Source organism: Homo sapiens, chromosome 2 (assembly GCF_000001405.40).
Source record: "Homo sapiens chromosome 2, GRCh38.p14 Primary Assembly".
Classification (NCBI taxonomy): Eukaryota; Metazoa; Chordata; class Mammalia; order Primates; family Hominidae; genus Homo; species Homo sapiens.
The window spans coordinates 232027088-232041295 of NC_000002.12; the positions used below are offsets into that span (position 1 = coordinate 232027088).

General features: G+C 39.7%; 1 protein-coding gene across 5 annotated transcripts in view; it reads left to right on the top strand.

Moving 5' to 3' along the window:
• The window catches only part of DIS3L2 (DIS3 like 3'-5' exoribonuclease 2), a 382638-nt gene that overhangs the window by 65375 nt on the left and 303055 nt on the right, over nucleotides 1-14208 (top strand). For all 5 annotated transcript variants that reach the window (NR_046477.2, NR_046476.2, NM_001257281.2 and 2 more), the window contains exon 5: nucleotides 2892-2993. Coding sequence is in view for 3 of the 5 variants with exons in the window: in NM_001257281.2 (NP_001244210.1) it covers nucleotides 2892-2993 (102 nt within the window). In the remaining 2 variants the exon portion in view is untranslated. The remainder of the gene's footprint in view (nucleotides 1-2891; nucleotides 2994-14208) is intronic.

The following is a 14208-nucleotide window of genomic DNA, read 5'->3' on the forward strand; positions in this document are numbered from 1 at the left end:
TTCAGTTTCCAGAAGCATTATAGAAAGCAACTGAAGAGGGCAATAATAGAGGCAACAGATTACTCATACATAAAGCCCATAACCACCTGTGGTCTAGATTTCTGAGTATACATATCTCATATCCATGTCAAATATGAACTTGTATGAACTGGAAACTTGACTTAGGTTCATTATAGCTTCTACTGATAGAAAGTTGATTTTCATTTTATGACATATAAAATGTATGGGATGAAAAATGCCTGCAGATAGACTGGGAAGTAGAATGTCAGAACCAGGGCCTAATTGTTACCGGCTTAAGCTAGGAGCATAAAGGCAGGAATGAATATGAAAGATGAGGCTTTTGCTCTGACAGTAGGACATACAGTGGCTTCCTCATTTGTAAAATGAGGGGATGGAGTAAATGTTGTCTAATGTTGCTCACATTCTAAAGTTTTTAGAGAGACAAAAATAGAGATTTGTTTAAACTATTTAGGTTTGCTCTTACTCACTCTAAAAATGGTTGTGAATTTACACAATGTCATTTGCTATGCTAAAATATCTCCCTAGGTAAAGAGGTGAAGAACAGTGAATTAGTCAGCAGGTATAAAATAATACTTTGTTTTAGGGGAACTTGACTTAGGTTCATTATAATTTCTACTGACAGAAAGTTGGTTTTCATTTCATGACACATCTAAACTATACAGGATGAGTAACTTATGTGTACTTGCTAGTTTTGTGAGGTTCTCAATAAAAATGAAATACAGAATGTGAGTAAAATCATGTGACTTTCAAGCAAACCAAGATAAAATGATATTATTGTCATGCCTTTTATCCTATTTGGGGATAGGATAAAGAGGAGAAAATTGATCAGATGGAAAAACCTGTCATTTTTAAAAAGCACAGTTTCTATTCTGAATTATGTAAATCTAAGAAGCTCTCTAACTTTTTAATGCATCGTGTCATAGGAGGCACCCTTTGTACAGTGGTGGAATTTATTTTTGGTCCAAAGGGAACTGTTCCATCAATGAAGGATGCTGTGACCATCGTGGCATATTTGTGTTGTCCTCCTTCCCCCAGTCCTCTAAGTCTTTAGTCTGATTACCACATGCCCACCTCCCAATTCCATTATTTTTCTTCCAGGGAAGTTCATTATCTATTTTTCTTTCTTTTTTTTCTATTATCTATTCTTTCTGATGGGTGGAACAAGACTTCTGGCATTCAAACAAAGAGCTGAAATCTTTGGCCTAAAAAAGTGGTTAAAAGAGATGACTCAAACTTTTAATATTGAGCAGTTCCCAAGCTTAGTGTCTTTAAAGTAAGAGATTCAGCGACAGATCAGTCTTCTGAATGAATCAAGGAAGAGCTGAGTATGATGCAGTAGCTATAGATTTTTGTGTTGTCTGAGGTTCAACTCAGCCCTGCTTTCCTTGGTTTCCTGGGATTGTAAGGTGACAGTACTATCATCCCATCAATCTGAAATCTCTGCGCTGCCAAAGGGTGGTTGTATCTGCTTATAATAGAGGCATTTCATTGCATATGTTTGACACGTGAGTATGGGTTAGGGTGACCTCCAAACAGCCCATTTTTCATTCCAAGGAGGTCTGAGAGATCCTATTGCTGTTTGAATTGCAAAAGGCAGCAATAGATGGTGATGTGCCTTATTTCAGTTGTTCTCTCTCTGTTTACTGGCTGTCTCTTCCACATCTCTCTGAGAAGCTTGTCAAGAGGTCAACTACAGTCATGTTTTGTGGCTAACACAGTAGCTTTTCCTCAGGGACTAGGGTGGGGTCAGTTTTGGCAGAGTGTGCAAGCCACAGCTGTCAACCCATAGCTAAACTGGAAATTGAGCAGAAAAACTATTCTAGAAGATCTCTAATGGTTTGTAAGTGGAAGCTGTAAAAAATGCTGAGTGACTAAAATCTGCCCCTCCCCCTTTTTTTGATTTGGTGATTTTGGGATGCTAATTTTAACTTTAACCAAAATTTCATAGTAATCACCTTCAGTCCATTGAGTGTTATGTTCAATCTTATCTATGTCAAGTGTCTCTATTAGAAAAATTTGAGTGATGATGTTCCAGACTCTTTTGCTGTCACCTCCTGTAAGAAAAAATGTTTTACTTCTTTCTTATTCTCTGAAAAAGAGCACATCATATAAACTTGTAGAGAATAGAAGGATAAGAGTACATGTTTGTTGGTGAAACATTTTGAAAATATTTCATTTTCTCAGGAACCCTGACTGCTGGTGAAGGCCTGCATTTCCTTGGCTATCTTGTTTATTTAAAATTACAAAGTAATTTGGCTTACTAAGAAGACTCTGGCACCTATTTAAGCCAAGAAGTTGACACCTGGGGAGTTCACTGGGGAGCCACATTATTTAAAGTGGGTTGTTTCTGAGTGAGTGAGTGAGGATGAAAGTGTCTGTATCTTGTGTTCATTGTCTGGAGTTCACGGTGGTCCTAAGTCAGCAAGGTCGGTAGAGTGTGAAGATCACGTGATGAATCTCATATTACATCTCTTTCCTTCTCTTCTTTGCCCTCTACTTAGGTCTCCGTAAAAACAACCACAATTTAGTCTCTCTGCCACTTTCTTGGGGGGCATTATGAATTTGCTGGTTTCCTCCTAGAGAGTCCAAATCTTAGAGCCATTGCTACTCCTGCCCTCAGTTTGTTTTCTTGGGGGAGATTATATGTTGTTCCTCTTCTGTTCTCTTGCATACCTTCTATTTTTATACTTTCTTGATATGTAAAAAATTCATTTAGTATTAAAAAGGTATCAGCATGCTTTATTTAATACGAAAAAGGATAACCTAAGAATAACTTGCTGTTTTCTATTTCAGTTATGAAAGCAGGCAATCTGTTTTTTGCTTTATGTGTTTTTAAGCTCACTATTGTTTTATTTCTTTTTCCAACCTAGGATGGTGATCGAGACATTTTTATTGATGGGGTTGTTGCTCGTAATAGAGCCTTAAATGGGGATCTGGTGGTCGTGAAACTGCTTCCCGAGGAGCATTGGAAGGTGAGTTAAGTTTTCCCTTTCTAATTACAGATTTCTTAGGGTCTTTCACATTCCATGGTGCACCAACAAGGCATCATAAACTGGAGGAGTCACAGACCCCTTAGGCGCTGTGATAAGATGGGGTGTAATCTTGGAAGCATGCTACCGAATGCTTGGAACTTAGAAGCATCTGCTGGGCAGATTGCTAATTAAATGAGTTCTCCTTGCTCTCTCTCTAGTGATCCATCCTCCCTGTCACATGCCTTGCACTGGTTTTTGGTATTCTTTTGAATAAATACTGAGGGCCCATTCAAACTTGGTATGTATTATTTTCCTACATCCTATGCAGGGAGAACTAGAAAGACAAAGCCATGGAGACAGTGGCAGTCCCCACGCATTTCTGCTGCCTCCAGTGGAAAACCCAGGCAATACATGTGGAGTTCTGTTGGCCCAGTTTGGTGATTGGGTGCCTTGGCAGATAAAAATAGTTGGTCTGTGTTTTTATAAATCAGGGATTTAGTGGCAGAAGAAAATGTTTTTAATATGAGAGTATTTTGGGTTTCGGTCTCCATCTATGTCTGTTAATTGGAAAGGAAGATATGGTTTTAGTTTTGATGGTTTTAAATAAAAGTAAGGATCAGGCATTGGAATGATGTGTGGTGACAATATCTTTGAATTGTCATGTAGGATTGGAGACATGTATCTAAGTCTGAATTTGTCTTCATATCATTTGTTTTATTTGGCTTTTTTGTTTTATTTATTTGAAGAATTTGGTGTCTTCTTCAATAATACGTGTTATAGATGTATCTAAGTCTGAATTTGTCTTCATATCATTTGTTTTATTTGGCTTTTTTGTTTTATTTATTTGAAGAATTTGGTGTCTTCTTCAATAATACGTGTTATAGAGTAGTGACTAAAAGTATGGGCTTTTAGGCTAGGCTACTTAGATTTGAATCTCATCTCTGCCATTCATCTCTATAACTTTGAGTGAATTGTACAACCTTTCTGCTGCAAATGTCTCATCTGTAAAATGGGAATAATCATGGTACCTACTTCATAGGTTTGTCATGAAAATTAAATGAGAATACATGTAAAAATTTTAGAATACTGCCTAAAAATCTTAGAATGGCAGGAGCTCAAGAAATGTTCTTACTAGCTTTTCCAAAAAAGATGTGATGTGAGGAGTACCATTTTATCTCAGAGCTTTGTTGAGGCATACATTCTTTTTAATCTGATACAGCTAAAGTAATTGAGTTATAGCTATATGCCAGGTATTCATAGGGTGTAGGGAATTCAGTAATGAGTAGTATTGACATAGTTCTTGCTCTCATGGAGCTTATAGTTTAATGGGGAGTACAGGTAGGAAAAGACAGATACTGATCACACTTATACAAATTTAAGTGTAATTTTTATTAGTGCTGTGAAGTGCAGGGTTTCTTTTTTTTTTTTTTTATATTATACCCTAAATTCTGGGATACATGTGCCGAATGAGCAGGTTTGTTACATAGGTATACATGTGCCATGGTGGTTTGCTGCACCCATTAACCCATCATCTATATTAGGTATTTCTTCTAATGCTATCCCTCCCCTTGTCCGCACCCACCGACAAGCCCCATTGTATGTGATGTTCCCCTCACTGTGCCCATATGTTCTCATTGTTCACCTCCCACTTATGAGTGAGAACATGTGGTGTCTGGTTTTCTGTTCCTGTGTTAGTTTGCTGAGAATGATGGTTTCCAGCTTCATCCATGTCCCTGCAAAGGACATAAACTCATTCTTTTTTATGGCTGCATAGTATTCCATGGTGTATATGTGCCACATTTTCTTTATCCAGTCTAACATTGATAGGCATTTGAGTTGGTTCCAAGTCTTTGCTATTATGAATAGTGCTACAATAAACATATGTGTGCATGTGTGCATATGTCTTTACAGTAGAATGATTTATAATCCTTTGGGTATATACACAGTAGTGGGATTGCCGGGTCAAATGGTATTTCTAGTTCTAGATCCTTGAAGAATCACCACACTGTCTTCCACAATGGTTGAACTAATTTACACTCCTGCCAACAGTGTAAAAGCATTTCTATTTCTCCATATCCTCTCCAGCATCGGTTGTTTCCTGACTTTTTAGTGATCTCCATTCTAACTGGCGTGAGATAATATCTCATTGTGGTTTTGATTTGCATTTCTCTAATGACCAGTGTTGATGACCTTTTTTTATATGTCTGTTGGCCACATAAATGTCTTCTTTTGAAAAGTGTCTGTTCATATCCTTTGCCCACTTTTTGATGGTTTGTTTTCTTGTAAATTTGTTTAAGTTCCTTGTAGATTCTGGATATTATCCCTTTGTCAGATGGATAGATTGCAAAAATTTTTTCCCATTCTGTAGGTTGCCTGTTCACTCTGATGATAGTTTCTTTTGCTGTGCAGAAGCTCTTTAGTTTAATTAGATCCCATTTGTCCATTTTGGTTTTTGTTGCAATTGCTTTTTGTGTTTTAGTCATACAGTCTTTGCCCATGCTTATGTCCTGAATGGTATTGCCTAGGTTTTCTTCTAGGGTTTTTATGGTTTTAGGTCTTACATATAAACATTTAATCCATCTTGAGTTAATTTTTGTATAAGGGGTCCAGTTTTAGTTTTCTACATATGGCTAGCTAGTTTTCCCAGCACCATTTATTAAGTAGGGAATCCTTTCCCCATTGCTTGTTTTTGTCAGGTTTGTCAAAGATCAGATGGTTGTAGATGTGTGGTGTTATTTCTGAGGCCTATATTCTGTCCTATTGGTCTATATATCTGTTTTGGTACCAGTAGCATGCTGTTTTTATTACTGTAGCCTTGTAGTATAGTTTGAAGTCAGGTAGCGTGATGCCTCCAGCTTTATTGTTTTTGCTTAGGATTGTCTTGGCTATATGGGCTCTTTTTTGGTTCCATATGAAATTTAAAGTTTTTTCTAATTCTGTGAAGAAAGTCAATGGTAGCTTGCTTGGAATAGCATTGAATCTAAATTACTTTGGGCACTATGGCCATTTTCACAATATTGATTCTTCCTATCTATGAGCATGGAATATTTTTCCATTTGTGTCCTCTCTTTCCTTGAGCAGTCGTTTGTAGTTCTCCTTGAAGAGGTCCTTCAGATCCCTTGTAAGTTGTATTCGTAGGTACTTTATTCTCTTTGTAGCAATTGTGAATGGGAGTTTGCTCATGATTTGGCACTCCATTATTGGTGTATAGGAACGCTTGTGATTTTTGCACATTAATTTTGTATTCTGAGACTTTGCTGAAGTTGCTTATCAACTTAAGGAGATTTTGGGCTGAGACATTGGGGTTTTCTAAATATACAATCATGTCATCTGCAAACAGAGATAATTTGACTTCCTCTCTTCCTGTTTGAATACCCTTTATTTCTTTCACTTGCCTGATTGCCCTGGCCAGAACTTCCAGTACTACGTTGAATAGAGTGCTGAGAGAGGGCATCCTTGTCTTGTGCCGGTTTTCAAAGGAAATGCTTCCAGCTTTTGCCCATTCAGTATGATATTGGCTATGGGTTTGTCATAAATAGCTCTTACTATTTTGAGCTATGTTCCAATACCTAGTTTATTGAGTGTTTTTAGCATAAAGGGGTGTTGAATTTTGTCAAAGGCCTTTTCTGCATCTATTGAGATAATCATGTGGTTTTTGTCATCGGTTCTGTTTATGTGATGGATTACATTTATTGATTTGAATATATTGAACCAGCCTTGCATCCCAGGGATGAAGCCAACTTGATCGTGGTGGATAAGCTTTTTGATGTGCTGCTGGATTTGGTTTGCTAGTATTTTATTGAGGATTTTCACATTGATGTTCATCAGGGATGTTGGCCTGAAATTTTCTTTTTTTGTTGTGTCTCTGCTGGGTTTTGGTATCAGGATGATGCTGGCCTCATAAAATGAGTTGGGGAGGAGTCTCTCTTTTTCTGTTGTATGGAATACTTTCAGAAGGAATGATACCAGCTCCTCTTTGTACCTCTGGTAGAATTCGGCTGTGAATCCATCTGGTCCTGGGCCTTTTTTTGGTTGGTAGGCTATTAATTACTGGCTCAATTTCAGAACTTATTATTGGTCTATTCAGGGATTTGACTTCTTCCTGGTTTAGTCTTGGGAGGGTGTTTGGGAAGAATTTACCCATTTCTTCTAGATTTTCTAGTTTATTTGTGTAGAGGTGTTTATAGTATTCTCTGATGGTAGTTTGTATTTCTGTGGGATCAGTGGTGATCTCCCCTTTATCATTTTCTAATGCGTCTATTTGATTCTTCTCTCTTTTCTTCTTCATTAGGCTGTCTACTGGTCTATCTATTTTGTTAATGTTTTCAAAAAACCAGCTCCTGGACTCATTGATTTTTTTGAATGGTTTTTCATGTCTCTATCTCCTTCAGTTCTGCTCCGATCTTAGTTATTTCTTGTCTTCTGCTAACTTTTGAATTTGTTTACTCTTGCTTCTCTAGTTCATTTAATTGTGATGTTAGGGTGTTGATTTTAAATTTTTCCCGCTTTCTCCTGTGGGCATTTAGTGCTATAAATTTCCTTCTAAAGACTGCTTTAGCTGTATCCCAGAGATTCTGGTACATTGTGTCTTTGTTCTCATTGGTTTCAAAGAACTTATTTATTTCTGCCTTAATTTCATTATTTACCCAGTAGTCATTCAGGAGCAGGTTGTTCAGTTTCCATGTAGTTGTGGGTTTTGAGTGAGTTTATTAATCCTGAATTCTAATTTGATTGTACTGTGGTCTGAGAGACTATTTGTTAAGATTTCCATTGTTTTGCATTTGCTGAGAAGTGTTTTACTTCCAATTATGTGGTCAGTTTTAGAATAAGTGTGATGTGGTACTGAGAAGAATGTATATTTTGTTGATTTGGGGTGGAGAGTTCTGTAAATGACTATTAGGTCCTCTTGATCCAGAGCTGAGTTCAAGTCCTGAATATCCTTGTTAATTTTTTGTCTTGTTGATTATTGTCTGTTATTGACAGTGTCTTTTTGTCTTGTCTATTATTGACAGTGGGGTGTTAAAGTCTCCCACTATTATTGTGTGGGAGTCTAAGTCTCTTTATAGGTCTCTAAGAGCTTGCTTTATGAATCTGGGTGCTCCTGTATTGGGTGCATGTATATTTAGGATATTTAGCTCTTCTTTTTGCATTGATCCTTTTGCCATTATGTAATGCCCTTCTTTGTCTTTTTTGATCTTTGTTGGTTTAAAGTCTGTTTTATCAGAGACTAGGATTGCATCCCCTGCTTTTTTTTGCTTTCCATTTGCTTGGTAAATATTCCTCCATCCCTTTATATTGAGCCTATGTGTGTCTCTGCACGTGAGATGGCTCTCCTAAATACAGTACACTGATGGGTCTTGACTCTTTATCCAATTTGCCAGCCTGTGCCTTTTAATTGGGGGATTTAGCCCATTTACATTTAAGTTTAATATTGTTTTGTGTGAATTTGATCCTGTCATTACGATGCTAGCTGGTTATTTTGCCCATTAGTTGATGCAGTTTCTTCATAGTGTCAATGATCTTTACATTTTGGTTTGTTTTTTTGCAGTGGCTGGTACCAGTTTTTCCTTTCCATATTTAGTGCTTCCTTCAGGAGCTCTTGTAAGGCAAGCCTGGTGCTGACAGAATCCCTCAGGATTTGCATGTCTGTAAAGGATTTTATTTCTCCTTCACTTATGAAGCTTTGTTTGGCTGGATATGAATTCTGGGTTGAAAATTCTTTTCTTTAAGAATGTTGAATATTGGCCCTCACTCTCTTCTGGCTTGTAGGGTTTCTGCAGAGAGATCCACTGTTAGTCTGATGGGCTTCCCTTTGTGGGTAACCCAACCTTTCTCTCTGGCTGCCCTTAACATTTTTTCCTAGATTTCAACCTTTTTCCTTAATTTCAACTTTTCCTTCATTTCTGACAATATGTGTCTTGGGGTTGCCTTTCTCGAGGAGTATCTTTATGATGTTCTCTGTATTTCCTGAATTTGAATGTTGGCCTGTCTTGCTAGGTTGGGGAAGTTCTGGATAATATCCTGAAGTGTGTTTTCCAACTTGGTTCCATTCTCCCTGTCACTTTCAGGTACATCAATCAAACGTAGGTTTGGTCTTTTCACATAGTCCCATATTTCTTGGAGGCTTTGTTAGTTCCTTTTCATTCTTTTTTCTCTAATCTTGTCTTCATGCTTTATTTTATTAAGTTGATCTTCAGTCCCTGATATCCTTTCTTCTACTCGATCAATTCATCTACTGATACTTGTATATGCTTCACGAAGTTCTCATGCTGTGTTTTTTAGCTCTATCTAGTCATTTATGTTCTTCTCTAAACTGGTTATTCTAGTGAGCAATTCCTCTAACCTTTTATCAATGTTCTTAGCTTTCTTGCATTGAGTTAGAACATGCTCCTTTAGCTCGGAGGAGTTTGTTATTACCCACTTTCTGAAGCCTACTTCTGCCAGTTCGTCAAACTCATTCTCCGTCCAGTTTTGTTCTCTTGCTGGCAAGGAGTCGTGATCCTTTGGAGAGAAGAGGCATTCTGGTTTTTGGAATTTTCAGCCTTTTTGTACTGGTTTTTCCTCATCTTTGTGGATTTATTTACCCTTGGTCTTTCCTGTTGGTGACCTTTGGATGGAGTTTTTGTGTGGTGGTCCTTTTTGTTGATGTTGATGCTATTGCTTTCTGTTTGTTAGTTCTTCTTCTAACAGTCAGGCCCCTCTTCTGCAGGTCTGCTGGAGTTTGCTGGAGGTCCACTCCAGACCCTGTTTGCTTGGGTATCATCAGTGGAGGCTGCAGAACAGCAAAGATTGCTGCCTCCTCCTTCCTCTGGAAGCTTCATCCCAGAGAGGCACCCGCCAGATGCCAGCTGGAGCTCTCCTGTATGAGGTGTCTGTTGACCCCTGCTGGGAGGCGTCTCCCTGTCAGGAGGCACAGGGGTCAGGGACCCACTTGAGGAGGCAATCTGAGGAGGCAATCTGTCCCTTAGCAGAGCTAGAGCGCTGTGCTGGGAGATCTGCTGCTCTCTTCAGAGCTGGCAGGCAGGAATGTTTAAGTCTGCTGAAGCTGCACCCACATCCGCCCCTTCCCCCAGGTGCTCTGTCCCAGGGAGATGGGAGTTTTACCTATAAGCCCCTGACTGGGGCTGCTGCCTTTCTTTCAGAGATGCCCTATCCAGAGAGAAGGACTCTAGAGAGGTAGTCTGGCTACAGGGGCTTTGCGGTGCTGTGGTGGGCTCCGCCCAGCTTGAACTTCCTGGTGGCTTTGTTTACACTGTGAGGGGAAAACCGCCTACTTAAGCCTCCGTAATGGCAGACGCCCCTCCCCACCAAGCTCAAGTGTCCCAGGTCGACTTCAGACTGCTATGCTGGCAGCAAGAATTTCAAACCAGTGGATCTTAGCTTGCTGGGCTCCATGAGGGTGGGATCCGCTGAGCTAGACCACTTGGCTCTCTGGCTTCAACCCCTTTTCCAGCGGGGTGAACAGTTCTCTCTCACTGGTATACCAGGAGTCACTGGGGTACGAAAAAAAACTCCTGCAGCTAGCTCGGTGTCTGCCCAAACGTCTGCCCAGTTTTGTACTTGAAACCCAGGGCCCTTGTGGTATAGGCACCCGAGGGAATCTCCTGGTCTGAGGGTTGTGAAGACTGTGGGAAAAGCATAATATCTGGGCCAGAGTGCAATGTTCCTCACAGCACAGTCCCTCATGGCTTCCCTTGGCTAGGGGTGGGAGTTCCCTGACTCCTTGCACTTCCTGGGTGAGGTAACGCCCCACCCTGCTTTGGCTTGCCCTCCGTGGGCTGCACCCACTGGCTAACCAGTCCCAGTGAGATGAACCAGGTACCTCAGTTGGAAATGCAGAAATCACCAGCCTTCTGCGTTGGTCTCACTGGGAGCTGCAGGCAGAAGCTGTTCCTATTTGACCATTTTGTCTGGGAATCCTCTTTTTTCTTTTTGAATTACAGTGAACTTTCCTAGTTCAGATCCACCTCCCAGCTTCATCCCCAGTTGCTGCCAATTGTTGATACAGTGTCTTCCCTGGATTCCTTGAAAGCATAGCTAAAGGCTGGCTTCATGTTTTAGGTATATAGGTTGATTTAGGTCACTTTGTTTTCTTGAATCTAGCATAGTGTTGACCAGGTCCAAGAAGATAAGAGAAGTGTATTAGGGCCAGGTCAAACCAAAGGAAACATTCCTAGAGGTCATTTGAGGGAGTAAAGAGGCAGCATTGTAATGAAGAAGAGCCAAAGAAAGAACAGAAAGATGGTGGCATCTTTTACCCTAAGACATGAGAGTGGTAGAATAGGGAGAAACAGAAGAATGGTTAGCAAGTTGGGTGGGTGTAGAGCAGACCAGAGCAGGTATAGGTGCTGACTGGTTGTACAGTAGGCATGGAAAGCATACAGTAGAGCACCAGTGGAGCTCTACAGAAGTGGATGAGATTGCTTAAAAGAGCAAGGCCAAGTAACCTGGCATCCTTTCTGCCCTTGGACCCAGGCAAGAGATGGCCAAAATAAGCAAACATATGAATAAGTAAGTCTGTTGCATTGTTTTCCTTGTTTCTCACCCCCTTTATTGATAAGACAGTCAGCACAGCCTTTCCTGTGCTGTTAGAAGTGCTCTTGCTTCAGGCAGGAAGTCTAAGACGATGGGGTAGATTGTTAACCAAAGCTTGGGGGTAGGTTGAGGGTTAAAGTGTTTGCTGTTGTTGAGGTCTGGAGGAAAGGTTTGGGACTTGAGCATTCTTGTTTCTGCCTTGGTGCCTTTTTTCTTGGACAAAAATCAGTACCTCTTTTAAAACTGAATACAACAAAGTTGTGTTTCTCCCTAGAGGCCTAATTTTATGAATTTCTAGGTCATAAAATTAGCTTAGTGCTACCTACTTCTACAAACTGTTATCTGTTTAACTAGCTCCTACAGAGGGGCTGCTGGCTGCCTCTGAAGCTTTCAGAAGATTTGAAATGTAGAGGGTAGCCCCGGGTTCCTTATTATTTTGTTTCTGTGGAGCTCCCGAGAGTCTTCACAGTGGCTGCCTGACAATTGCTTTTTGTGTTAACGTCAGCCCCATTAGGTACATCTCTCAGGCCTCATTAGTTAGAATATTTCACAGCTTCTTATTCTGAAGTGGGGGAGTTCTGTTGTCCTTAGCCCACCTGTGATAGTTGTTGGTGACAGGGTCAAAGTAGGGAGAAGAGAATATTCGGACTGTCATCAAGAATCCCTGACGTCTAGAATATAAACATCTCCAAACATACTGGCCAATTGTCTTACAGGTTTGTTAGTACAAAAGCATATTGTTATCAAAGGAATCTGTAGTCACTAGCGTGAGCCAATGTGGATTAATTGGATTATTCATCTTTGCTTCTTTCTGCTTGTCGTGCTCACTCCTCTTGGGTATGTAAACTACAGGGCTTTTGGGGTTTTAGAAAAACAACAGTTCTTTTCGTTGTAGTAGTAAATAGTCAATTTATTTCACAGCATGATTTTTGGCAAAATAGATAGCTGTATGAGTATCAAGCTGTGAGGCAATAATGAAAAATAATTTACTCTTATATAACTCTTCGAAGTTCAGATTCTTCCACATTTTTACTGTCTCCTTATACTTTTTATTACAGACATCTAATGAAAGATAGTTGAGGGGCAAATGATAGTTTCTTCCTTTGTCAATTGGAATATTAAGGTACTGTGAGAGTGACTGGTTTGAGGACTGAGAGTTTTTGGCAGAACCAGGGATAGAATCCAGATCTCTTGACTTACAGCTTAATATCCTTTTCCTCAGATTTTCAAAGTGGAGATCATGTCCCCAAATGGTTAGGAAGCATTGATCCTGACAGTTCTGCCTGGAGCAGTTCAAGGTACCCAGTGGCTTCTCATCTACCATTCATCCTGCCCTGTGTTAGATTCTAGAGATACAAACTAGAATAGGTCACAGGCTTTGCGCTTAAGGAGTTCATAGGCTGGTTGGGAAGAGAATGGAAACAATTATGGTACGGTTTGCAGGATGGAAACAGAAATACCACACTGTTATGGGAGAAACAAACTCTATTTGAAAGAATTGGGGAAGACTTCATAGAGGTTACATTAGAGCTAAGGTTTAAAGGATGGGAATAGAGAAAGAGAGAGGATTTGTTTTATTTCAAGATGAGAATGATTTGGCAAGAGAGGATTGTGAAAATTTTAGGTTTCAGGGAGGCATGTATGGATCAAAGCTTTCTCTTCCTGGTATACTATTGGCTGAGTACAGCAGCCCCTCTACTAACTCTCCCAGACATTGGAAGAAGTAGTGGGCTCCTAACTCTTCTGAGGATCCTGCCCTCAAGGGAAACTGAAAGGGGGACCATGGCACCCTTTTACAGAGACTCTTCGAACATTGCTGCCAGCTCAGTAAACTCTTGTTTGCCATTTATTTGATCTTTGCCCTGCTTCTTCCATTCTCTTTCCCTTTTTTTCATCAAGTTCACCTCCCATAACCATAGCCCATACTTGTCTTTCATCTTTTGGTTAACCATAATGAGTTTATTCTATTATTTTCCTTCTCTTAATACCCCAATACGGTAAATTACAAATATGCATATATAAACCCTGTGGGTGCTAATAACAACTGCTAACTTACTGGTGCTTACCGTGTACCAGGTACTGTGTTTAGTGTCTTGTACTATTCTTTTGTATGCTGTTGTCTGTATCCCAATTTTGTGAATGAGAAAACTGGGGCTCGGTTTAAGCCTCTTATTTAGGGCACATATAACTAAGGAGTAACAGAGTGGTATTCAGATTTACATCTCCTGGCTTCATGATCATACTGTTATTTGTTATTCCAGAGATATCAAGGAGAGAGTTATTTGATCTGTATACAGATATTGTCAGTGTCATAATAATTAGCACACATTTAGAAAATAAAAATATATGCTTCAGCATTAGGTAATAGGTAATATCTTAAGTTGCCATCATGGATAAACAAGGTGACTATCAGTTGACATAACTAAAAGCTTAGTGTTAGTCTCAGAAAATAAACAATTCAGAAAATATTAGTTAGAATTCTAGTGGTTGTATCTTAGGACTGGAGAGGTATGATAGGACATTATGGAGACAGGTGTTGAGAATGAGGGAGAACCTTAACAAATACTTGCCCTAGACAGTGGAGATGACCCAACAATAAAAGTCACATCAGAGTTGCAGCTTGCTGTTCAAGGCAGAGTCAAAGGGGTTACAGACCTAGATGCCATTCCTGACTCAATGG